We start from the raw sequence: 22,455 nt of genomic DNA, 5'->3' as shown, positions 1-22,455 counted from the left end.
GGGCAGGATCCCGCTGGCGTAGCCTGCAGGGATCTCTCAGGCCCGTCCTGCCTTGCTGGGGATCGTGCCACAGGCCAGGCTCCATGGGACCCGTAGACACCTTCCTTCCTTTAAAGAGGCTCATGGTCTCAGGGGCTGGAGAGAAAGGGGTTGCACAACGTCCTGGTCTGGCTCTTTTCAGTTCTTCCTCCTGTGAGTTTGGAGCGGCATTTGAGTCTGCAGGTGAAGAGGAGGGCGAGGGGGAGGTCAGTGCCTCGCAGGCAGCCGTGCAGGCGGCGGACACAGACGAGGCGCTGAGGTGCTACATCCGCTCCAAGCCGGCCCTGTACCAGAAGGTGCTGCTGTACCAGCCCTTTGAGCTGCGGGAGCTGCAGGCAGAGCTGAGGCAGAACGGCCTCCGTGTGTCCTCGCGCAGGCTGTTGGACTTCCTGGACACCCACTGTATCACCTTCACCACTGCCGCCACCCGCAGGGAGAAGCTCCAGGGCAGGAGGCGGCAGCCTCGGGGCAAGAAGAAGGTGGAGCGGAACTGATGGGGCCATCCCGACCCCACCCCAACCTGCCATCAGCAGCCCCCACCCCCGCCATTTGCAGGGAGGACCTGGGACACCCAGCGTGGGTCAGGCCTCCACAGGCATTTCTGGGCCTGGGGACCACATCAGCTCTGCGCTGTGATGATGACCACAGCCCAATCCAGGGCTTCCTCCTCTGGGCTCTGCTTTCTAGGGTGGCATTTGGAGCATGTCACCCACTGGATTTACAGACTCCAGCCCCTTCCTCTGTCCGTGCTCACAGTGTGTCTCCCTTTTTGGTTTTCTTTTTTTTTTTCTTTTTGAGACAGTCGTGCTGTGTCACCTAGGCTGGAGTGCAGTGGCACAATCTCGGCTCACTGCAACCTCCGCCTCCCGGGTTCAAGCAATTCTCCTGCCTCAGCCTCCCAGATAGCTGGGACTACAGGCACACGCTGCCACGCCCAGCTGATTTTTTATATTTTAGTAGAAACGGGGTTTCACCATGTTGCTCAGGCTGGTCACAAACTCCAGAGCTCAGGCAATCCGCCTGCTGCGGCCTCCCAAAGTGCTGGGATCACAGGCGCCAGCCACTGCGCCCGGCCCAGTGTGTCTCCCTTAACCCAAGAGGGCCCTCAGCTGTCCCAGGGGGCAGTGGGCCATCACCAGCTGGCCAGGGCATGGCCTATTCTGCCACATTTGCCACCCTCTGAGCCCACCAGTCCTGGGCACAGCTGCCCTACATGTCTGTCCTGAGATGGACGTCAGGTCCAGCCTGCCCCGGCAGCCCGGGCCCGTCCTCCTCAGCACTCAGGCCAACCCCAGCCACCGCCAGCCTGAGACCAGGTGTCCTGAGGCTCCCTGCACTGCCACAGCCCAGATGCAGTTCTCCTGACCCAGCCGTGCTACCCGGACACTTGTCATTGTTACCAGCAGTCTCCAAACTGGACAGTGCACAAGGGCCCAGAACAACTCTGATGCCACCACAAAACAAACATGTTCACTAGCGGATTCCATTCTTTGGGTTAAAGCTGCCTCCAGCCTCAGGAGCAGTGTGGAGGAAGATGAGGGCCAGGAAAGAAGGAAACCTTGGTTTCTCCATCCTTGTGAATGTCCTCGTCTGTTTCAAATACAGTGCAGTCAGTTTTATATGATGTGCAATAAACCAAAAAGGCTTTATTAAAATCTGGCTGCCACACTCCAGGGAGACCACGAGCGAAACGGGGGACCTGGAGGCACCGTGGCCCCTCAGCCCGTGCCCCACGCCTGCAGAAGTCCCCACCTTGCACCTGCCCTTTACTTTGGAGTAACCTGGGCCTGCTGTCTCCTCATTTCAGTTCCCAGACCAGAGATGCAGATGTTCATCCATTAATCCACACACCCGTATCCAACAGAGCCCTGGCTGGGTGCCAAGCTCCAGCCCCCGCACCTCAAAGTGGGGCCCAAGCACCCCCAGCTGCTGCCTCAGCCGGGAGTTGCTACAAAAGCAGATTCAGGCCCCACCCCACAACTCACCAAGACAGCACATGCCTTTACCATTGCGTCCGGTCCAGTGGAGGAGACAGACGCTGGCCTATCCCAGCCTGGTGGGGAGTCGGGCTCCAGTGGCTTGAAGGGCCGTGTCAGGGACAGCCTCCCAGAAGAGGGGTTTGTGAGCTGCATCTTAGGGCTCAGCAGCATTTAGGGGGTGAAATGTGATTTCTGGCGCACATACTATGTCCTGGCACGTGAACCAGCGGAGAGGCCCAGGCCTCCCAGCTTACGGTGCCCGGGGCGAACAATTTGAGAGGCTGAGATCAGCTGTGATCAATCTGAGGCTGGCCTCTGGCCTGTTTCGGAAGGCATCACGCACTGCTTCCTTGATGGGCTGATCCCCCTCCCTGGTGTTAGGGAAGCGAGAGGGAGTGGTGCAGGTGGGGGACTCGGGGCCCCTGTCCGGCCTCGCAGGGTTTGTGGTTTGGGGAAGTATGTGTTATGTGCCATGACTTGAAAGTTCAGAACTTCAAGGCTGGTAAAGATGGGTTGGGGGAGGGGTTCCAAGTAGTTAACAAGCTGGGTTAGGAGCCTTGAGTGCAGTGTGAGCCCAAGGCCAGGGGAGGCATGGCCTGGGGACTGGATTCGAGCCTTGTGGTGACCTTGGATTCAGTTGGGGCTGCTGGACGCTCCCTGGGCTGACAGCGCTGGGCAGAGGCTTGGTTTATGCACTGCCACCCAGCCAGGGGACTGGATGCTGGCCCTGAACCTGTACAAAGCAGCATTTCCTTGTCCTGAAACAAGCTGTGAAGCAGCTGATTCCTCCAGAGGGAAAGGGTTGAAGGAGTCACTGCAGGAACCCACAGAGGCGTGGTGGCATCCAGGAGTAGACCTGGCCCCTGCTACAGGGATGACGCTGACCCGGGCAACATAAAACTAGGTCCAGTTGACAGATGGAAAATGCCTTCTCACAGCGCCTGCAGCAAGACTGGCAGGCAATGGGGCCTCTTCATGGACAAGGCGAGAGAGAGTTACCTTCCAGGAGTGACTGAGAAGGAAGCTGGCATGCCGGGTGCGGTGGCTCCCACATGTAATCCCAGTGCTTTGGGAGGCCAAGGCAGGAGGATCACTTGAGCCCAGGAGTTTGAGACCAGCCTGGGCAACATAGTAAGGCCAAGTCTCTATTTTGAAAACAATATTAAAAACATTTCTAAAGGGGGAGAATAAAAGACTGGCAGCAGAACTTTCACTGGTAACAACTAAATCAGAAAACGGGTCTGTCTATGCCTCACTGTAATATGAACAGGCCTCCAGGCCTGTCCCACTTTTGGTGGCCCCAACCTGGCATGGCTTGGGCACAGCCCCTCAAGGCAGTCACAGGGGAGCCACACCCCAGCCTGGGCCCAGGCAAGGGCACTTACAAAGAAAGAGCCTGCAGGCAGGGGCCTTGCGCTGTTGCTGAGTTAGGAAGGGCTGAGGTCGCTTCCTGTCTGGCTGACCCCAGCTCTGGGTGGACAGAAAGCCCCAGAGTGAGAACAGTTAGGGAGCCCCCAGCCCAGCACCCCCACCTCCACCAGGAGCCAGGAGGACGGCCCACCTGGTTCTCAGCAGAGCGGGCAGAGTGGGGAATGGGACCAGCCCTGTGTGGACTGATGGACATTCCTGCGAGGGGGAGGAACGGGCGGGGCGGGGCGGGGCGGGGCTGGGCTGGGCTGGGTTGGGCTGCTCCCCAAGATCCCGTGGATGAGGCTGTGTCCTCTCAGGCTCCGCATCCATCCCCCTGAGCCACAAAGGGAGGCAGTGTGAGCCTCTGGCCCCTTTTATGTGACGGATACCCACCGGGCCCTGTGGTTTCCAACATCCTGTGGGCGGCCTGGTTTCAGGCGCCTTTGTTGCTCCCCACAGCCGAGGCTGCAGCTGCTGGGTCTGCACTCTGCCTGCCTGGAGCCTCGGGCAGCCTTCTCGAGGGTCCATCGTGTCCTCCCAGCACCCAGCAGGTTCCTGGGTGCTCAGAAAGCATTGTTGGGAGGGAGGGAGAGGAAGGAGGGACAAAAGAAGGTAGGCAGGCAGGGGAATGTGCAGGAGCACTTCTGGTCTGCTGCCTCAGTTCCCTCCCCCCCATCACCCACACAGGCTCTGGGGAACCAGCTAACCCTCCTACCTCCCCTGAGCCACAAGCTGCTCTATGAGTCCAGACCCACTACTCTCCTGCTCTACAACCATTGCTGGCTCCCACTTGCTTGCTGAGGAAAATTCAGACCCCAGGACCCCTGTCCCTTGGCTCCCACCTTGTCACCTCCTTCCCTCAGTGGCCCCATGTTGCTTGCTCCCTGTCCCCAGCGGATGTCCCATACTTTATTGTAATTTTTCTCATGTGGCTTGCTCTGGGCCATGTCCTTCCCCCTCACGCCCTTCCCTGTCAGGGCAGGCCACCCACTGAGGTCCACTTCCAGGGGCCGAGTGCGATCTCCTGCCGCGGACGGCAACATTCTGCTGTTTCCTCTTAGGGTACAGGTGACCTGCCTCTGGGGAGCCCTTTGCTCACAGGAAGATGTTATGGGGCACAGCTGAGTCAGAGGTGCCTACTGGGTGACAGAGAGAAAAGAAAGCAAGAGGTGTTAAAAGAGGGAGCACAGTGGCTCACACCTGTTATCTCCGTGTTTTGGGAGGCCAAGGCAGGAGGATCACTTGAGCCCCAGGAGGTAGAGGCTACAGTGAGCCGAGATCACACCACTGCACTCCAGTCTGGGTGACAGAGCAAGATCCTGTCTCAAAAAATAAATAGGCTGGGCGCAGTGGCTCACGCCTGTAATCCCACCCCTTTGGGAAGCCAAGGTGGGTGGATCACCTGAGGTCAGGCGTTCAAGACCAGCCTGGCCAACATGGCAAAGCCCCTCCTCTGCTAAAAATACAAAAATTAGCGGGGCATGGTGGCGCATGCCCGTAATCCCAGCTACTCAGGAGGCTGAGGCAGGAGAATCTCTTGAACCTGGGAGGGGGAGGTTGCAGTGAGCCGAGATCGTGCCATTGCACTCCAGCCTGGGCAACAGAGCGAGACTCTGTCTCAAATAAATAAATTAAATAAATAAATAAGGAGAGCCACAGGGGTGGCCTGGAGGTGGCAGGGCACAGTCCAGTCCTGCTGGGGTCACCCTCTAGTTGCGTGACCTCAGGCTGCTCACTTGATTTCCTGACCACCCGCCTGAAAACAAGCATTTGTTGATGGCGGGGCAGCTTCCTTTGTGGCGGGATGGAGGTGATGTGTCAACAGCCTTGGCACCAGCCACTTTATCCTGAGCATGCCACCTGCAGGGACACTTAATCCCAGAGTCAAGACCCCCAGCATCGCCCCCGCACTTAACTTGCACGGGGGCGGTGACCAAGCCAGGGTGCCCCGGCTCCTCGATGTGTCTGCGAGGCTGTTGGCTGTTGAAATCAGACAGGAAGGAAGAATGAGGTGGAGCCCAGCACAGGAAGAGGTGAGGACCCGGAGCCACAGGGACAGCCGGTGGGCTCGGTGGGGCTGCAGAAGGTCGGGGCTGCACTGCTCTCGGCCCCCACACGGTTGGTTGGTTGGCGTGGTAAGTGCCCTGATCCCTGGTCCTGAGAACTCAGGCTGGCACAGGGATTCCCAGGGCATCTACCACCACGCAGCTGGAGCAGGGCTGAGCCCAGGAGCATGGAGATGGACGCCCCCAGGCCCCCCAGTCTTGCTGTCCCTGGAGCAGCATCGAGGCCCGGGAGGTAAGTTGGGTCCAGGTGACCTCAGTGCAGGGCAGGGGAGGGAGAAGGGATGCTGGCAGGAAGGACAGTGGCCTTAAGGCCTGAGCTACTCTGGGGAGGGGGACTGGGGAGACTCCACGAGACTCCAAGAAGCTGTCTCCTGGGGCAGGACTGGCTCATGCTGTAGAAAAAAGAGATGTGGCCAGGCACGGTGGCTCACGCCTGTAATCCCAACACTTTGGGAGGCCAAGGTGGGCGGATCACTTGAGGTCAGGACTTTGAGACTAGCCTGGCCAACATGGTGAAACCCCATCTCTACTAAAAATAAAAAATAAATTAGCCAGGCATGTTGGCAGACGCCTGTAATCCCACCCAGCTAGTCGGGAGGCTGAGGCAGGAGAACCGCTTGAACCCGGGAGGCGTAGGTTGCAGTGAGCCGAGATCGAGCCACTGCACTCAATCCTGGGTGACAAAGCGAGACTGTCTCCAAAACAAAACAAAACAAAACAAAAAAGAAAAGAAAAAACAGGTAACTAAGAATGGCCCAGGACAGGTCCCAGGGACAAAACCCAGCTCCCCCAGGTACCAGTGATGGCCCAGGAGAAGCAGGAAGCATCTTGAAGGTGCTGCGGGCAGGCAGTGGTGATGCTGAGCCACGGCCTGGGGAATCGGCAGACCTGGGCACCCTTCCTGGCACTGGGACCCCCCATGGGAGGCTACTTCTCTGGGCCTCAGCACCCCACCTGTAGATGGAGGTGACAGCACAGGAGGGGCGAGGTCATGAGGGGCAGGGAGGGTGCAGGCGCCGCCCCCAGGCGAGTGGGCAGCCCCAGGGCCTCTCCTGCCCACAGCCTTGGGTGAGACAAGGGTCGAGAGAGACGGCAACCGCAGAGGCCTTCTCGGAAGAAGTGCCACTGCCCTGGGCCAGCCTGGGTGTTGGCTGCAGGGTCTTCCCCTATGGCCAGGCTCCAGAGGCCCTGGTGTTTTTCTGGACCCCTCCCTGGAGGTGACCCTGAGCCTGGGGCTCACTGTTGGCCATCACAGGCTGCAGGCTGCACCCCTCTTCTTCTGTCCCAGGGTGCTGGGCTCCCCAGGGCTGGGCCTCTCCACCCCTTGGACTCCAGGGGTCCATGCAGTGAGCAGGGTAGGGCCCTGAGGTGCAGGTGCCACTTCCTTCTTCCTTCGGGAAGGCTTTTGAGCTCAAGTGATGATGCTGGGGCCACCTCGAGAGAACCGAGTCCTGAATTCCAAGGCCCTGGGAGGGGGCAGGGGCAGGATGTGGGAAGAGAGGAGCATCCAAGCAGCCGTGGTGGGAGATACTGGCAGCCCAGGTAGGCAGCCAGCACTGGGAAGTCCCACCCGGGCGCCAAGTGGCAGGGAAGGACCCAGCAGGTCCCGGCAAGGACTGAGGCACAGATCAGGTGGGCGGGTGATGGGCAGAGGCGGCTAGTCCGTCGGGACTGAGGCTTCTCAGGAATGAGGCAGCAGGCCACTTGCTGAGCCTGAGGAACTGGGCTTGAGCCCACACCACACCAGGAAGGCCTCAGGTTCACCTTCGCTCACAGACAAAGCTCTAGGGGTGAAACCTGGTGCTACCTGGGAGGCTCCCGGGGAGGAGGCAGCAGTGGCACCTACTCGTCCCTCTGGCCTCGCCCTGCTCGCAGCAGCTCAAACCAGCTGTGGAGCGACCTCTGGCCTTCAGATCCCCCAAAGCAACCCGAGTCCCACCTGTCCTCAGTCTCTCTGTCTTTCAGCTGCGCTCACAGGGGCCGCCTGACCATCCATAGTGGCGTCTGCGGCCTCGCGACCTCACTCGGCTGAGAGGTCTGTGGAAGGCTCCAGCCTGCCAGGGGGATGTTAGGGCTGCGTGCAGGGCCTGGCAGCGGTGGCAGCCAGGTAACCAGCCCCCATCAGCCTTTGGGGCTGGTCCTGGGAGGTGCTGGCAATGGCAGGGGGGTTGGTTCACCTGCACCCCCTCCTCTGTCCTTCTTAGGGACAGTGTCCAGGATGAAAGCCACGTTTCGTCTGAATGGGGCCTGAGCAGGGATGCCAGATCAGATACAGGACACTTGGTCAAATGTGAATTTCAAATAATCCATTTCTTTGGTATGTCTCCAGTATGACATAAGCTATGCTTATACTAAAAATTATATGTCGTTTATCTGAAATTTAATTATCTGTGGATATCTCATATTTTATCATTATTTTTTGAGACAGTCTCGCTCTGTCACCCAGGCTGGAGTGCAGTGGCGTGATCTTGGCTCACTGCAGCCTCCACCTCCTGAGTTCAGGCGATTCTCCTGCCTCAGCCTCCAGAGTAGCTGGGACTACAGACATCCACCACCACGCCCAGCTAATGTTTGTATTTTTCGTAGAGATGGGGTTTCGCCATGTTGGTCAGGCTGGTCTTGAACTCCTGACCTCAAGGTGATCTGCCCACCTCAGCCTCCCAAAGTGCTAGGATTACAGGCATGAGCCACTGTGCCCAGGTTTGTCTTGTATTTTAATTTGCTGAATCTGGCAACCCTGGACCCAAGGTCATGGGGCCACAAAGATGGGTGTCTGATCAGGAGGGAGTGCTGACTCCCAATACTGAGAGACTAATGAGGCCACAGAGGCAGGGGTGCTTGCCAGCCCCCTACACCCCGTCCCCGCCTTCCCAGGCGCTTGTGAGTCCTGCCTCGCCCCAACCCCTCACTCCTGCCAGCACTGTCCCTCCCTCATTCCTCTCCCAGCCCCGCTCGGGTCCCGTGGTTCTCAACTCTGGTTAGAACCACCGGAGGAGCTTAAACTAGATCCACGTGGGGGCCCTTGCCAGACCAATCAAATCTCTGGGTGGTCAGGCCGAGCGTTGGTTATTTAAAAGCCGTGCTCCACAAGGCCGGGCGCAGTGGTTCACACCTGTAATCCCAGCACTTTTGGAGGTCAGGAGTTCAAGACCAGCCTGGCCAACATGGTGAAACCCTGTCTCTACAAAAATACAAATGGTATTGATGGTGGGTGCCTATAATCCCAGTTACTGAGGACCCTGAGGCGGGAGAATCACTTGAACCCAGGAGGCAGAGGTTGCAGTGAGACGAGATAGTGCCACGACACTCCAGCCTAGGCAACAGAGTGAGACTCTATCTCAAAAAAAAAAAAAAAAAAAAAAAAAAAAAAAAAGATAAAATGGTTACAATGGGCCAAGCATGGTGGTCCTCACCTGTACCTGTAATCCCAGCTACTTGGGAGGCTGAGGTGGGAGAATCACTTGAGCCCAGGAGGTCGAGGCTGCAGTGAGCCAAGATCGTACCACTGCACTCCAGCCTGGGCAACAAAGCAGGACCCTGTCTTTATTTTTTAGCGACAAAGCAAGACCCTGCCTCTATTTTTTAAGGAAAATTATTTTTAAAATGGTTAAAATGGTAAATTTTGTGTTATGTGTATTTTACCAAAATTTTAAATCAATCAATCAATAAGACCCCAAATGATGCCCTACCAGAGCTGAGACTTCTTCCACGCAGTCCTCTCATCCTCCTGGCCACTCCCGCCCCCAGCAGCAGGGCTGGTCACCTGGTGGGTGCACATGGACATCCAACAACAGGAGGCTGTGTCCACCTGGGCCACACCCTAATGTCACACAGTGAAGGACAGAGGACCCCGTATCCTGGCCTCTGGCATATCAGGCAGACAGTAGCACTGCTTCATTTGGGCTGACATACCTTTGAATGTTTAGATAATTGCTAGCTTTTGTGTGTGTGTGTGAGACAGGGTCTTGCTCTATCACTCAGGCTGGAGTGGAGTAGTGAGATCTCAGCTAACTGCAGCCTTGACGGCGGGAGTTAAGCGATCCTCCCACCTCAGCTTCCTTGAGTAGCTGGGATTACAGGCATGCGCCACCGTGCTCAGCTAATTTTTTTTTTTTTGTACTTTTTATAGAGACAGGGTTTTGCCCATGTTGCTCAGGCTGGTCTCAAACTCCCGGGCTCAAGCAATCCACCCACCTTGGCCTCCTAAAGTGCTGGGATTACAGGGGTGAGCCATGGTGCCCAGCCTCCATCCCTCCTTTTGATGTTTTTTAATTTCTCTCAGTAATGTTTTATAGTTTTCAGTATAGAGGTCTTGCAAATTTTGCTAGATTTATTCCTAGATATTTGATTTTTTTTTTTTTTTTTTTTTGAGATAGAGTCTTGCTCTATCGCCCAGGCTAGAGTGCAGTGGCACCATCTCGGCTCACTGCAACCTCCACCTCCTGGGTTCAAGCAATTCCCTGCCTCAGCCTCCTGAGTAGCTGGGATTACGGTCACCCACCACCATGCCCAGCTAATTTTTGTATTTTTAGTAGAGACGGGGTTTCACCATGTTGGCCAGACTGGTCTCGAACCCCTGACCTCAGATGATCTGCCTGCCTTGGCCTCCCAAAGTGCTAGGATTACAGGTGTGAGTCACCGCGCCTGGCCCACATATTTCTTTAGGATAAATTCCCAGAAGTGGAATTTCTAGGACAAAAGATATTTAATGACAACAGATAATGGTTATTATAATCCAGAATTGTTATACTAATTTATACTTCCACCCACTATGAATTAAGATTCCCACTACAGGCCTGGCACAGTGGCTCATGCCAATAATTCCAGCACTTTGGGAGGCCAAGGTGGGAAGATTGCTTGACCCCAGAAGTTGGAGACCAGCCTAGGCAACATGGCAAGACCCTGTCTCTACAAAAAATACAAAAATTAGCTGGATGTGGTAGCATGCGCCTGTAGTCCCAGCTACTTTGGAGGATCACTTGAGCCCAGGGAAGTTGAGGCTGCAGTGAACCCTGATCATGCCACTGCACTCCAGCCTGGGTGACACAGTGAGATCCTGTCTCAAAAAAAAAAAAAATTTCCCACTACCTCCATGTTCTCACCAATGCAGTCTGTTATGTTATAATATTCACCAATGAGACGTATGAAAAATGATAGTTTATTCTTTTGCTTTTTTCTTGATCCTTAGTGACACTGAGCATCTTTTCAATATCTTGGTCATTTATACTTCTATGAATTATCTGTGTCCTTTTTTCTATTTCATTTGGGGTTCATAATTCTGTTTGGTTACTTATTATTGATTTATAAGTTCTTTATATATTAAGGATATTCATATTTTTCCATGTATGTTGCAAATGTTGACTCCTGGCTTATAGTTTTTCTTTCAACTTTATGGCATCTATTATTACTTATAAATATTTTAATTATTATTATTATTTTTTGAGATGGAGTCTCGCTCTGTCACCCAGGCTGGAGTGCAGTGGCGCCATCTTGGCTCACTGCAACCTCTGCCTCCCGGGTTCAAGCGATTCTCCTGCCTCAGCCTCCCGAGTAGCCGGGACTACAGGCACGTGCCACCACGCCCAGCTAATTTTTGTATTTTTAGTAGAGATGGGGTTTCACCATGTTGGCCAGGCTGGTCTTGATCTCTTGACCTTGTGATCCACCCGCCTCAGCCTCCCAAAGTGCTGGGATTACAGGCGTGAGCCACCACGCCTGGCAAATATTTTAATTATTTAATATCAAACTAAATATTTAATTATTTAATATTTTAATTCAATTAAGACAAATTTACTAGTCTCCCTCTTCATGAATTCTGCTTTTTTTTTTTTTTTTTAAAGCCAGGGTCTTGCTCTGTCACCCAAGCTGGATTGCAGTGGCACAATCATAGCTCACTGCAGCCTCAGCCTCCTGAGCTCAAGGGGTCCTCCTACCTCAGCCTCCCCATAGCTAGTTCCACAGGTGCCCACCACCAGCCCCATCTATTTTTTTTTTTTTGTAGAGATGGTGTGTCACTATGTTGCCCAGGCTGACACTTCTGAGTTTTACGTCTCACTGTAAAAAACCTTTACCTAAATAATATTTTAAAATATTATCTCATATTTTCTTATTGTGCTTTTATGGTTTTGTGTTTACAACTTTTAACTCCTTAATTGACCTGAAAATAAATTTTGTGTTTAATGTGAATTACAGCTGGAAAATATTTTTCATAGGCTGGTCAATTGCCCCAATGCCATTTTCACTGATTTGAAATGCTATTTTTGTCATGTTACCAAACTCCTTAATGTGTAGATATTATAAATATATATTTGTTCCTGGCCTCTATATCCTATTCTGTTGACTTATGTATCTATTCTTGTGCTAGCCCACACATTTTTTACATATATGGAATATATACATCTTCTATTTAATAATACAAATGGAAGACTGTATTCTAGAATGCAAGGTTGGTTCAATATCAGAAAATCATTTAGTGTAGCTCATGGATTCCAGGAGAGATCTGATATCCATTGCTCATGTCACTCCCCCCAGTGGCTCCCCTCCATACTTAGAACAAATCCAAACTCCTTACAACAACGGTGACTGGCTTTTCCAGCCCTGAGGGGGTGGTGCCACTTGCTCACTTACCATGTTCCAGCAACATTTCCTCTAAGCACTTGCTGTTTCCTTGGCCTGAAATGTCCCTCCCCTAGCTCTCTGCATGACTCTTTCTCACCCTCTCTACTCCTAGGTAGCTTTTTCTCAGAGGCCTCTCACAGCAGCCTTCCCCAGCCGCCAATTACCACCTCTGCTCCTCCTCCCCCTAGAATTCCAGGCTTCTTTGTCACTCACAGTTTATTCCACTCACAGCACTAACCACCAGCAGAAACTGCCTTGCTTATTGACTTGTTTTCCTTTCCATTGCCATTATCCCTTACCCGTCAAACCGCAGGTCAAGGACTTGATCTAACTTGGTCACCTTCACATCCCCAGGGCCTAGAACATACAACAGGCTCTCCATAAATATTTGCTGGTTGAATAAATGAAGAGAAATAAATCATATGTTTATATCAATATATGCTAAAAAGTAATTTGCTAATTTAACAGATATTCCTTATCTTAAAAAATTTTGCCCAGGCACGGCAGCTCACACCTGTAATCTCAGCACTTTGGGAGGCTGAGGTGGGTGGATCACTTGAGGTCAGGAGTTGAGACTCTGTCTCAAAAAAAAAAAGTGTAAACTACCTTAAGAGGCAGTAGATTATACAGCACACGCACTGGTGTCAGTGAGGAATTGATTTCTATCCCAACTCCCACTTCCCAGCTGTGTATCCTTGGACAAGTCACTTAACCTCTCTGAGCCTCAGTGTCTTCATCTGTAAAATGGGAGAAATAATGGTATTGAGAGTTATGAGAAATAAATTATGGAAATACAGTGCTTAACAGAATATGCAGAACACAGTATGCCTTCAGTAAATATTACATAATAGTATTTGAATGGTAATAGAACAAAATAAATCTTTCTCTATCGGAGAAGAAAACTAGAAATCTGTCACAAACATCACACCTAACAGTTTGGGCAAGAACCACTCCTGGTCTAGTCTAGAGTAAAACAAGAAGGCCTGCAACAACCTTATTGCTCCAAGGAAGGGGTAGGCCTGGCCAATGTGGTAAAATTGTTCAAAATAAGAGTTATAGTTTTTGGGCTGGGCACGGTGGCTCACACCTACAATCCGAGCACTTTGGGAGGCCAAAACGGGTGGATCACTTGAGGTCAGGAGTTCAAGACCAGTCTGGTCAACATGGTGAAACCCCATCTCTACTAAAATACAAAAATTAGCCAGGCATGGTGGTGCGTGCCTGTAATCCCAGCTACTGGGGAGGCTAAGGCAGGAGAATCACTTGAACATGGGAGGTAGAGGCTACAGTGAGATCGTGCCACTGCACTCCAGCCTGGGTGACAGTGCGAGACTCCACCTCAAAAAAAAAAAAAAAAAAAAAAAATAATATATATATATATATATATATATGGTTTTCAGAAATAAAGAGATAAAAATTCTTCTTGCTGAAGAATTTTTTTTTTTTTTTGAGATGGTGTCTCTCTCTGTCACCCCGGCTGGAGTGCAGTGGTGCGTTTTCGCCTCACTGCAACCTCCTCCTCTCGGGTTCAAGCGATTCTCCAACCTCAGTGTCCCCAATAGCTGGGATTACAGGCACACGCCATCACACCCAGCTAACTTTTGTATTTTTAGTAGAGATGGGGTTCCGCCATGTTGGCCAGGCTGGTCTCGAACTCCTGACCTCAAGTGATCTGCCCACCTTGGCCTCCCAAAGTGCTGGGATTATAGGTGTGAGCCACCACGCCCAGCCTTGCTGAAGTAATTTGAAAACCTGAAGAAAATTAACTGGAAAATGATGAAAACCAATGTGAATATTTAATATGTTGATGAGACATGCAATAAAATAAAAATCAATCATCTTTTATACCAACAATATTCATCATACGACAAAAACTGTTTTTAAAAATACCTAGATACAAATAAGGAACTGGCAAGACCGAGATGAGAAAAAATATAAAGTTTTACAGAAGGATCTAAAGAAGGACCTCAAATTACCCACATGGACCCATACACATGAGGCAATGTCAATTCAAATCCCATCTTTTTTTTTCTCCTAAGACAGGGTCTCACTCTGTTGCCCAGGCTGGAGTGCAATGGTGCAATCTCTGCTCATTGCAGCCTCAACCTCCCAGGCTCAAGCAGTCCTCTCACCTCAGCCTACTGAGTAGCTGGGACTACAGGCGTGAACCACCATGCCTGGCTAATTTTTAATTTTTATTTTGTAGAGCTACGGTCTCACTACTTTGCCCAGGCTGGTCTCAAACTCCTGGGCTCAAGTGATCCTCCTACCTCAGCCTCCCAAAGTGCTGGAATGACAAGCATGAGCCACTGTGCCTAGCCCAAAATCCCATATTTTTTATCCCTCTTGGTTTTGACATTTAGAAGAATAAAAGAACAGGCTTTGGGGCAGCATAAGGAGACTGGCCTTGCCCTGGCCTGTTCCTAATGTTCCAGGTTAGTTCAGCTGGCCTGGGTGCCAGCAACCTCAAATTGATCGCACTCCTTACTTCTTCAACACCATGACCTGAATGCCTGAAAAATGGTATTTTACTTATTTTTACTTTACTGTTTTACTTATTTTTACTTTACTATTTACTTATTGCTAAGCTTCTTTTATCATTTTCCAGATAAAAAGCATCACCTGTGTTAAAATGCTAGGCTCGGCTGAGGTGGGCAGATCACAAGGTCAAGAGTTCAAGACCAGCCCGGTGAGCAAGGTGAAACCCTGCTTCTACTAAAATTACAAAAATTAGCCAGGTGTGGTGGCATGTGCCTGTAATCCCAGATACTTGGGAGGCTGAGGCAGGAGAATTGCTTGAACCTGGGAGGCAGAAGTTTCAGTGAGCTGAGATCACGCCATTGCACTCCAGCCTGGGCAACACAGCAGACTCCGTCTCAAAAAAAAAAGAAAGAAAGAAAAAGCTAGGCTCCCCACTGCTAATCCAAGGCCAGGGAGCCTGCTGAATCCCAGGGCTGCAGACAGCAAGCTTTTTTTTTTTTTTTTTTTTTTGAGATGGAGTCTCGCTCTGTTGCCCAGGCTGGAGTGCAGTGGCGTGATCTCAGCTCACTGCAACCTCTGCCTTCCAGGGTCAAGCAATTCTCCTGCCTCAGCCTCTCGAGTACCTGGGATTACAGGCGCCCACCACCATGCCCAGCTCATTTGTATTATTAGTAGAGATGGGGTTGCACCATGTTGGCCAGGCTGGTCTTGAACTCCTAACCTCAGGTGATCCGCCTGCCTCAGCCTCCCAAAATGCTGGGATTACAGGCGTGAGCCACACCGCCCAGCCTAACAGCAAGCTAAACATTGAGAACCAGGGAAATGCCCTGTGGACAGGTGGGGTCCAACCTGCTTCTCTATGCAGTGACAACACCTGGTGTTATTTTTGAATGCAGGGCTGCCATCAGCAGCAGTGAGCCATCACCTCTGCTGGCCACATTGTGTTTTTTCTCCTAGAACTGTGGACAACGGAAGGCTGAGCCCCATCCATTGAGTTCCTGGGGCCCCACTGGAGGGGCTGCTGTGGCCAGGGTGCACGGTGAGGAGGCGAGCAGGGTGGGTGGGGGCGAGTTCCCGGCCTTAGTGTACAGCTTGGGTGTGGGAGGGCTGTGGGGGCGGGGGGACAACCAGCCTTGGCAACAAGGAGGCAAATGGGAGTGGGGGGCCTTGGCTTTGCCTCTCAGCATCTCTGCATCACAATCCCCACGAGCAGAGGGCAAACAGCACTGCTGGGAGCCCAGGAGCTCCTGCACTCCCAGGAGACCCCAGGAACATAGTAAGAAAAACAGCCGCTCTGAGAACCAGCGTTTTCTCCTTTTTGACTCCTCCTTCTTCTATCTTTTATTTCCTTTTTTTAATTAATAAGCTTTTCCTTGTAAAGCAATTTTAGGCTTACGGAGTCTCGCTCTTCCCCTCCGACTGGAGTGCAGTGGCGCAATCTCAGCTCATTGCAGCCTCTACCTTCCAGGTTCAAGTGATTGTCCTGCCTCAGCCTCCTGAGTAGCTGGGATTACAGGCACCAGCCACCACGCCTGGCTAATTTTTTTTTTTTTTTTTATACGGAGTTTCGTTCTTGTTGCCCAGGCTACAGTGCAATGGCATGATCTCAGCTTACTGCAACCTCTGCCTCCCGGGTTCAAGTGATTCTCCTGCCTCAGCCTCCTGAGTAGCTGGGATTACAGGCATGTGCTGCCACACTTGGCTAATTTTGTATATTTAATAGAGATGGGGTTTCTCCATGTTGGTCAGGCTGGTCTTGAACTCCTGACCTCAGGTGATCTGCCCACTTCGTCCTCCCAAAGTGCTGGGATTACAGGCGCGAGCCACCCTCCCCGGCTAATTTTTGTATTTTCAGTAGAGACAGGGTCTCACCATATCGGCCAGGCTGGTCTCAAATTCCTGACCTCAAGTGATCTGCCCGCCTCGACCTCCCAAAGTGCTGGGCTTACAGACATGAGCCACCGCGTCTGGCCAGGTTTACAGAAAAATTGATGGGAAAGTACAGAGACTTCCCATACACCCCATGCCTGCCCCCACCCAGACTCTGTCACTATCACCGTCCCCTGCCACAGTGGTCCATTGATTATAATCAGTAAACCTACACGGACATGTCGCCATCACCCAATGTCCATAGTGTATACTCTGGCTCATTCTTTTTTTTTTTTTTTTTTTTTTTTTTTGCTTTTTGCTCTAACTCAGGAGCAAGAAGAGTTAAGTTTTTTGTTTTATTTTGTTTTTCTTAGAGATGGGGTCTTGCTCTGTCACCCAGGCTGGAGTGCCGTGGTGTGATCATGGCTCACTGCAGCTTTGACCTCCTGGGCTCAAGCGATCCTGCTGCCTTGGCCTCCCAAGTAGCTGGGACTACTGGCACACACCCCATACCAGGCTAATTTTTAAAAAATTTTAGAGATGGGTTCTCACTATGTTGCCCAAGCTGGTCTCAAACTCCTGGGCTCAAGCGATCCATCACCTCAGGCTCCCAAAGTGTTGGGATTAAAGGTGTGAGTCACTGTGCCCAGCCATGGGCTCACTCTTGGAGTTGTACGTTCTGTGGGTCTGGACAAATGTATAATGATAATGACATGGACCCACCACTGTAGTACCCTACAGAGTCATGTTACTGCCCTAGGAATTGTCTGTGTTCCACCGATTCACCCCTCCTCCCCAACCCTTGGCCCCCACTGACCCTTTCTTTCACTGTCTTCCTGTCTCCATACTTTTGCCTTTTCCAGAATGTTAGTCAGAATCACACAGTGTAGCGTCCCCAGAGTGGCTGCTGCTGCCTTTTTTTTTTTTTTTTTTTTTTTTTTTTGCTTTTTCCCACATGTTCCAACAGAGTACCTTCTTTCATTCCTCCCTCCTTTTGAGCAAACTTACTTGTAACCTCATCATCATTTCCAGGTCACAAATGAAGACACCAAGGCGCAGAGAGGTGACTCAGCCTGCCCTCAGTCACCTATCTGGTAAGTGGCAGGGCCGGGGTACAAGCTCAGGGCCCCAGTTATCATCCACTGGGCCCCTGCATTCGTGTGATCATTGCTACCACCCAGGAACAAATGGCCCTTCCAGTCCATTCTCAGAGGCCAGGCCAGTGGGCCACCCAAAGGCTGAGGAAAGAGGAAGAGGGGATCCCTGACCCCGTTCCTGGGGACTTGCTCACCTGTCCCAGGCTGCTGGATGGGGGGCACGGCAGGCAGCAGGTTCAGGCCCTCTCTTCACAGCTCCTGGAGGTGATCCCCGACTCCATGAGGAAGCAAGAGGTGCGGACGGGCAGGGAGGCCGGCCAGGGCCACGGTACGGGCTCCCCAGCCGAGCAGGTGAAAGCCCTCATGGATCTGCTGGCTGGGAAGGGCAGTCAAGGCTCCCAGGCCCCGCAGGCCCTGGATAGGACACCGGATGCCCCGCTGGGGCCCTGCAGCAATGGTAGGACCGGCTTGGGAGGCAGACGCGGGGTGGGGAACACCTGGGCTGATTGTGCCCACTCTTCCCTTACCAGACCTCCCCACTGGCCTCTGTCCCGCAGACTCAAGGATACAGAGGCACCGCAAGGCCCTGCTGAGCAAGGTGGGAGGTGGCCCGGAGCTGGGCGGACCCTGGCACAGGCTGGCCTCCCTCCTGCTGGTGGAGGGCCTGACGGACCTGCAGCTGAGGGAACACGACTTCACACAGGTGGAGGCCACCCGCGGGGGCGGGCACCCCGCCAGGACCGTCGCCCTGGACCGGCTCTTCCTGCCTCTCTCCCGGGTGTCTGTCCCACCCCGGGTCTCCATCACTATCGGGGTGGCCGGCATGGGCAAGACCACCCTGGTGAGGCACTTCGTCCGCCTCTGGGCCCATGGGCAGGTCGGCAAGGACTTCTCGCTGGTGCTGCCTCTGACCTTCCGGGATCTCAACACCCACGAGAAGCTGTGTGCCGACCGACTCATCTGCTCGGTCTTCCCGCACGTCGGGGAGCCCAGCCTGGCGGTGGCAGTCCCAGCCAGGGCCCTCCTGATCCTGGACGGCTTGGATGAGTGCAGGACGCCTCTGGACTTCTCCAACACCGTGGCCTGCACGGACCCAAAGAAGGAGATCCCGGTGGACCACCTGATCACCAACATCATCCGTGGCAACCTCTTTCCGGAAGTTTCCATCTGGATCACCTCCCGTCCCAGTGCATCTGGCCAGATCCCAGGGGGCCTGGTGGACCGGATGACGGAGATCCGGGGCTTTAACGAGGAGGAGATCAAGGTGTGTTTGGAGCAGATGTTCCCCGAGGACCAGGCCCTTCTGGGCTGGATGCTGAGCCAAGTGCAGGCTGACAGGGCCCTGTACCTGATGTGCACCGTCCCAGCCTTCTGCAGGCTCACGGGGATGGCGCTAGGCCACCTGTGGCGCAGCAGGACGGGGCCCCAGGATGCAGAGCTGTGGCCCCCGAGGACCCTGTGCGAGCTCTACTCATGGTACTTTAGGATGGCCCTCAGCGGGGAGGGGCAGGAGAAGGGCAAGGCAAGCCCTCGCATCGAGCAGGTGGCCCATGGTGGCCGCAAGATGGTGGGGACATTGGGCCGTCTGGCCTTCCATGGGCTGCTCAAGAAGAAATACGTGTTTTACGAGCAAGACATGAAGGCGTTTGGTGTAGACCTCGCTCTGCTGCAGGGCGCCCCGTGCAGCTGCTTCCTGCAGAGAGAGGAGACGTTGGCATCGTCAGTGGCCTACTGCTTCACCCACCTGTCCCTGCAGGAGTTTGTGGCAGCCGCGTATTACTATGGCGCATCCAGGAGGGCCATCTTCGACCTCTTCACTGAGAGCGGCGTATCCTGGCCCAGGCTGGGCTTCCTCACGCATTTCAGGAGCGCAGCCCAGCGGGCCATGCAGGCAGAGGACGGGAGGCTGGACGTGTTCCTGCGCTTCCTCTCCGGCCTCTTGTCTCCGAGGGTCAATGCCCTCCTGGCCGGCTCCCTGCTGGCCCAAGGCGAGCACCAGGCCTACCGGACCCAGGTGGCTGAGCTCCTGCAGGGCTGCCTGCGCCCCGATGCCGCAGTCTGTGCACGGGCCATCAACGTGTTGCACTGCCTGCATGAGCTGCAGCACACCGAGCTGGCCCGCAGCGTGGAGGAGGCCATGGAGAGCGGGGCCCTGGCCAGGCTGACTGGTCCCGCGCACCGCGCTGCCCTGGCCTACCTCCTGCAGGTGTCCGACGCCTGTGCCCAGGAGGCCAACCTGTCCCTGAGCCTCAGCCAGGGCGTCCTTCAGAGCCTGCTGCCCCAGCTGCTCTACTGCCGGAAGCTCAGGTGGATACCAGGGCAGGGGGCAGGGGCTGGGGAAGGGGCAGAGGAGAGAGCAGAAGCCGTCCCCTCCCCACCACCAAGCTTCTCTGTCAGTCTCCTAGGGCTGCCGTAACAGAGGACCATGAACTTGGTGGCTTAAAACAACTAAAGTGTGTTTTCTCGCAGTTCTGGAGGCCAGAAGTCTCAAATCAAGGTGCCAGGAGGGCCATGCGCTCTCTGAAACATATAGGAGAGGTTCTTTCCTTCCTCTCTAGCTTCCAGTGTTTGATGGGAACCCTTGGCTTAAGGCTGCGTTACTTCAGTCTCTCCCGTCGCCTGGTCATCTTCTCCCTGTGTCTGTCTCCACATGGTGCTGTCCTCTCTTTTTTTTTGAGATGGAGTCTTGCTCTGTCGCCCAGGCTGGAATACAGTGGCGCGATCTCAGCTCACTGCAAACGCTGCCTCCTGGGTTCAAGCGATTCTCCTGCCTCAGCCTCCCTAGTAGCTGGGATTACAGGTGCCCGCCATCATGCCTGGCTAATTTTTGTGTTTTTAGTAGAGACGGGGTTTCACCATGTTGGCCAGGCTGCTCTCAAACTCCTGACCTCAGGTGACCCGCCCACCCCAGCCTCCCAAATTGCTGGGATTACAGGCCTGAGCCACTGCACCTGGCCAGTGCTTTCTTGTCTTAAAAAGACACTGTCACACTGGATTACAGGCTCACCCCACTTCAGCATGGCCCCACCTTAACAAAGTACATCCACAGTGACCCCATTTCTCAATAAAGCCACATACTTGGGGCACAGGGGGTTAGGACTTCATATCTTTTGTGGGGACACAATTCAATTCATAACCCCCTCAGAACCATCCAGTCTGATAGAAGCTGCACACCCGCTGAATGCTTTCAGCCTGTCCCCTGCCCGCCACTCTGGACCTTAGTGAGTAGGGAGGAAAGGACACAGGCTGAGGGTCATCCAGGTGTCCCGCAGAGGCAGGCGGTATGTGGGGTGGTGAGGACGACAGCCCGTGGAAGATGCCGTTCTGCACAGGAACCGCAGGTCTCGTGGGCACCCAGCCTCCTGTTCACTCTCACGGGAAAGGTCTGAGCACTGGGGCTGAGCGCAGATCTCAGAGCTGCGGTGATAGCGCTGCATGGGATGGAGAGAGGCAGAGGCCCCGGGCCAGGGCCCCCACCCTGCCCGTGGGCGGGTGGGACACTCACTGTCACTGCTCCCCTTGGCCAGGCTGGACACCAACCAGTTCCAGGACCCCGTGATGGAGCTGCTGGGCAGCGTGCTGAGTGGGAAGGACTGTCGCATTCAGAAGATCAGGTAACACAGACCCAGGGGACCTCCAGGGTGCCTATGGTCTTGTGGGGTATGGAACCCTCTTCCCATCATCCTCTGCTCAGCTGGCCAGCGGCGCTGCCACGGAGAAGTGTCTTTGGAGCATGTGGCTCCAGATGCAGCCTGCTTGTTTCTGCCCAATTCCAGAAAGTGCTAGAGGCTCAGGTGCCTCATCAGTAGGAAGAGGGAGGTGACCTGGCGGGACTAGACACCGCTGTGCACAGGCAGGTGTTTCCACAGCACTACGTGTGCTGACATAATGCCAGGCACAATGTTCTCTAAGCACCTCTCCAAGTTTGCTGTCCAACAGCATTCTAGGCACAGGATTATAATTATCCCCCCCAGACAGTCTTGCTTTGTCACCCCAGCTGGAGTGTAGTGGCATGATCTCGGCTCATTGTAATCTCTGCCTCCCAGGCTCAAGCAGTTCTCTAACCCCAGCCTCCTGAGTAGCTGGGATTAGAGGGGCCCACCACACCTGGCTAATTTTTGTATTTTTAGTAGAGACAGGGTTTCACCATGTTAACCAGGCTGGCCTCGAACTCCTGACCTTGTGATCCGCCAGCCTTGGCCTCCCAAAGTGCTGGGATTACTGGCGTGAGCTACTGCACCCAGCCAATTGCATTTTTAATTAAAATTTTAAATTTCAAATTTAATTTAATTAAAATTTAATTTCAAATTTAATTTTAAATCAATTTAAACAATTTTTAATTAAAATTGCATCTTGTGGCCGGGTGTGGTGGCTCACCCCTGTAATCCCAGCACTTTGGGAGGCCGAAGCAGGTGGATCACGAGGTCAGGAAATCGAGACCATCCTGACTAACACGGTGAAACCCTGTCTCTACTAAAAATACAAAAAATTAGCCGGGCGTGGTGGTGGGCGCCTGTAGTCCCAGCTACTCAGGAGGCTGAGGCAGGAGAATGGCGTGAACCCAGGAGGCAGAGGTTGCAGTGAGCCGAGATCGCACCACTGCACTCCAGCGCCACTGCACTCCAGTCTGGGTGACAGAGTGAGACTCCGTCTCAAAAAAGAACAAAACAAACAAAAAAACCTTCATCTTGTAATTAGACAAAAGTTCACATGGTGAATGTGTGCTTATGAAACGTCTCCTGGAATAACATTCCTGGATCTGAGAAACTACACACACTCGGGGTTTGTGGTTGAATCGATGTGACTGATCCTCTGAGGGTGGCTGTTGCAGACCTAGGGAGGTGAGTTTGGAGAAGAGAACCCAAGGGCTAATTTTGTTTTTTTTTTTGTTTTGAG

The 22,455-nt window shown here is 53.4% G+C and overlaps 2 protein-coding genes and 2 long non-coding RNA genes across 12 annotated transcripts in view, besides 5 other annotated features; 2 read left to right on the top strand and 2 right to left on the bottom strand.

Annotated features, from left to right (window-relative positions):
* SLX4 (SLX4 structure-specific endonuclease subunit) overlaps nt 1–1,694 on the top strand; it is a 30,426-nt gene extending 28,732 nt beyond the window's left edge. For all 4 annotated transcript variants that reach the window (XM_011522715.4, NM_032444.4, XM_024450471.2 and 1 more), the window contains one exon: nt 182–1,694. In XM_011522715.4, the coding sequence (XP_011521017.1) occupies nt 182–533 (352 nt within the window). In that variant the 3' untranslated portion in view covers nt 534–1,694. The remainder of the gene's footprint in view (nt 1–181) is intronic.
* Nucleotides 1,432–2,227: an enhancer, noted in NCBI's record as "H3K4me1 hESC enhancer chr16:3630649-3631444 (GRCh37/hg19 assembly coordinates)". NCBI's record gives its function as "activates a minimal SCP1, AML or CMV promoter by ChIP-STARR-seq in primed H9 embryonic stem cells {active_cell/tissue: H9 hESC(primed)}" and the evidence as "EXISTENCE:reporter gene assay evidence [ECO:0000049][PMID:30033119]".
* LOC105371060 (uncharacterized) lies at nt 1,654–5,372 on the bottom strand. 2 transcript variants are annotated; one of them, XR_933019.3, is made up of 3 exons: nt 3,822–5,372; nt 3,404–3,488; nt 3,126–3,163 (listed from the first exon to the last, which is right to left on the bottom strand). It is a non-coding gene; the product is annotated as an uncharacterized LOC105371060 (long non-coding RNA). The 2 variants fall into 2 exon arrangements; XR_001752061.3 differs by having other exon boundaries at nt 1,654–3,488.
* Nucleotides 3,589–3,688: a silencer, noted in NCBI's record as "silent region_7136". NCBI's record gives its function as "represses an Ori minimal core promoter by ATAC-STARR-seq in GM12878 lymphoblastoid cells {active_cell/tissue: GM12878}" and the evidence as "EXISTENCE:reporter gene assay evidence [ECO:0000049][PMID:35858748]".
* Nucleotides 4,129–4,308: an enhancer, noted in NCBI's record as "active region_10328". NCBI's record gives its function as "activates an Ori minimal core promoter by ATAC-STARR-seq in GM12878 lymphoblastoid cells {active_cell/tissue: GM12878}" and the evidence as "EXISTENCE:reporter gene assay evidence [ECO:0000049][PMID:35858748]".
* Nucleotides 4,339–4,388: an enhancer, noted in NCBI's record as "active region_10327". NCBI's record gives its function as "activates an Ori minimal core promoter by ATAC-STARR-seq in GM12878 lymphoblastoid cells {active_cell/tissue: GM12878}" and the evidence as "EXISTENCE:reporter gene assay evidence [ECO:0000049][PMID:35858748]".
* Nucleotides 5,472–22,455, top strand: part of NLRC3 (NLR family CARD domain containing 3) — a 38,371-nt gene continuing 21,387 nt past the window's right edge. For 3 of the 5 annotated variants that reach the window (NM_178844.4, XM_047433770.1, XM_047433771.1), the window contains exons 1-6: nt 5,472–5,726; nt 15,551–15,632; nt 17,495–17,556; nt 17,815–18,016; nt 18,117–19,866; nt 21,087–21,173. In NM_178844.4, coding sequence (NP_849172.2) covers nt 17,839–18,016; nt 18,117–19,866; nt 21,087–21,173 — 2,015 coding nt within the window. In that variant the 5' untranslated portion in view covers nt 5,472–5,726; nt 15,551–15,632; nt 17,495–17,556; nt 17,815–17,838. Of the gene's footprint in view, nt 5,727–15,301; nt 15,633–17,494; nt 17,557–17,814; nt 18,017–18,116; nt 19,867–21,086; nt 21,174–22,455 lie in introns of those variants that run through there. The other 2 variants (NR_075083.3, XM_047433769.1) reach the window with 2 other exon arrangements.
* Nucleotides 10,637–17,927, bottom strand: LOC124903632 (uncharacterized). Its single transcript, XR_007064955.1, has 2 exons — nt 17,754–17,927; nt 10,637–12,469 (listed from the first exon to the last, which is right to left on the bottom strand). It is a non-coding gene; the product is annotated as an uncharacterized LOC124903632 (long non-coding RNA).
* Nucleotides 20,513–21,013: an enhancer, noted in NCBI's record as "H3K4me1 hESC enhancer chr16:3611863-3612363 (GRCh37/hg19 assembly coordinates)". NCBI's record gives its function as "activates a minimal SCP1, AML or CMV promoter by ChIP-STARR-seq in primed H9 embryonic stem cells {active_cell/tissue: H9 hESC(primed)}" and the evidence as "EXISTENCE:reporter gene assay evidence [ECO:0000049][PMID:30033119]".

This window comes from Homo sapiens, chromosome 16 (genome assembly GCF_000001405.40).
Source record: "Homo sapiens chromosome 16, GRCh38.p14 Primary Assembly".
NCBI classification, from domain to species: domain Eukaryota; kingdom Metazoa; phylum Chordata; class Mammalia; order Primates; family Hominidae; genus Homo; species Homo sapiens.
Note: the sequence above shows the minus strand (reverse complement) of the source record. Positions and strands in the feature narration are given on the sequence as shown.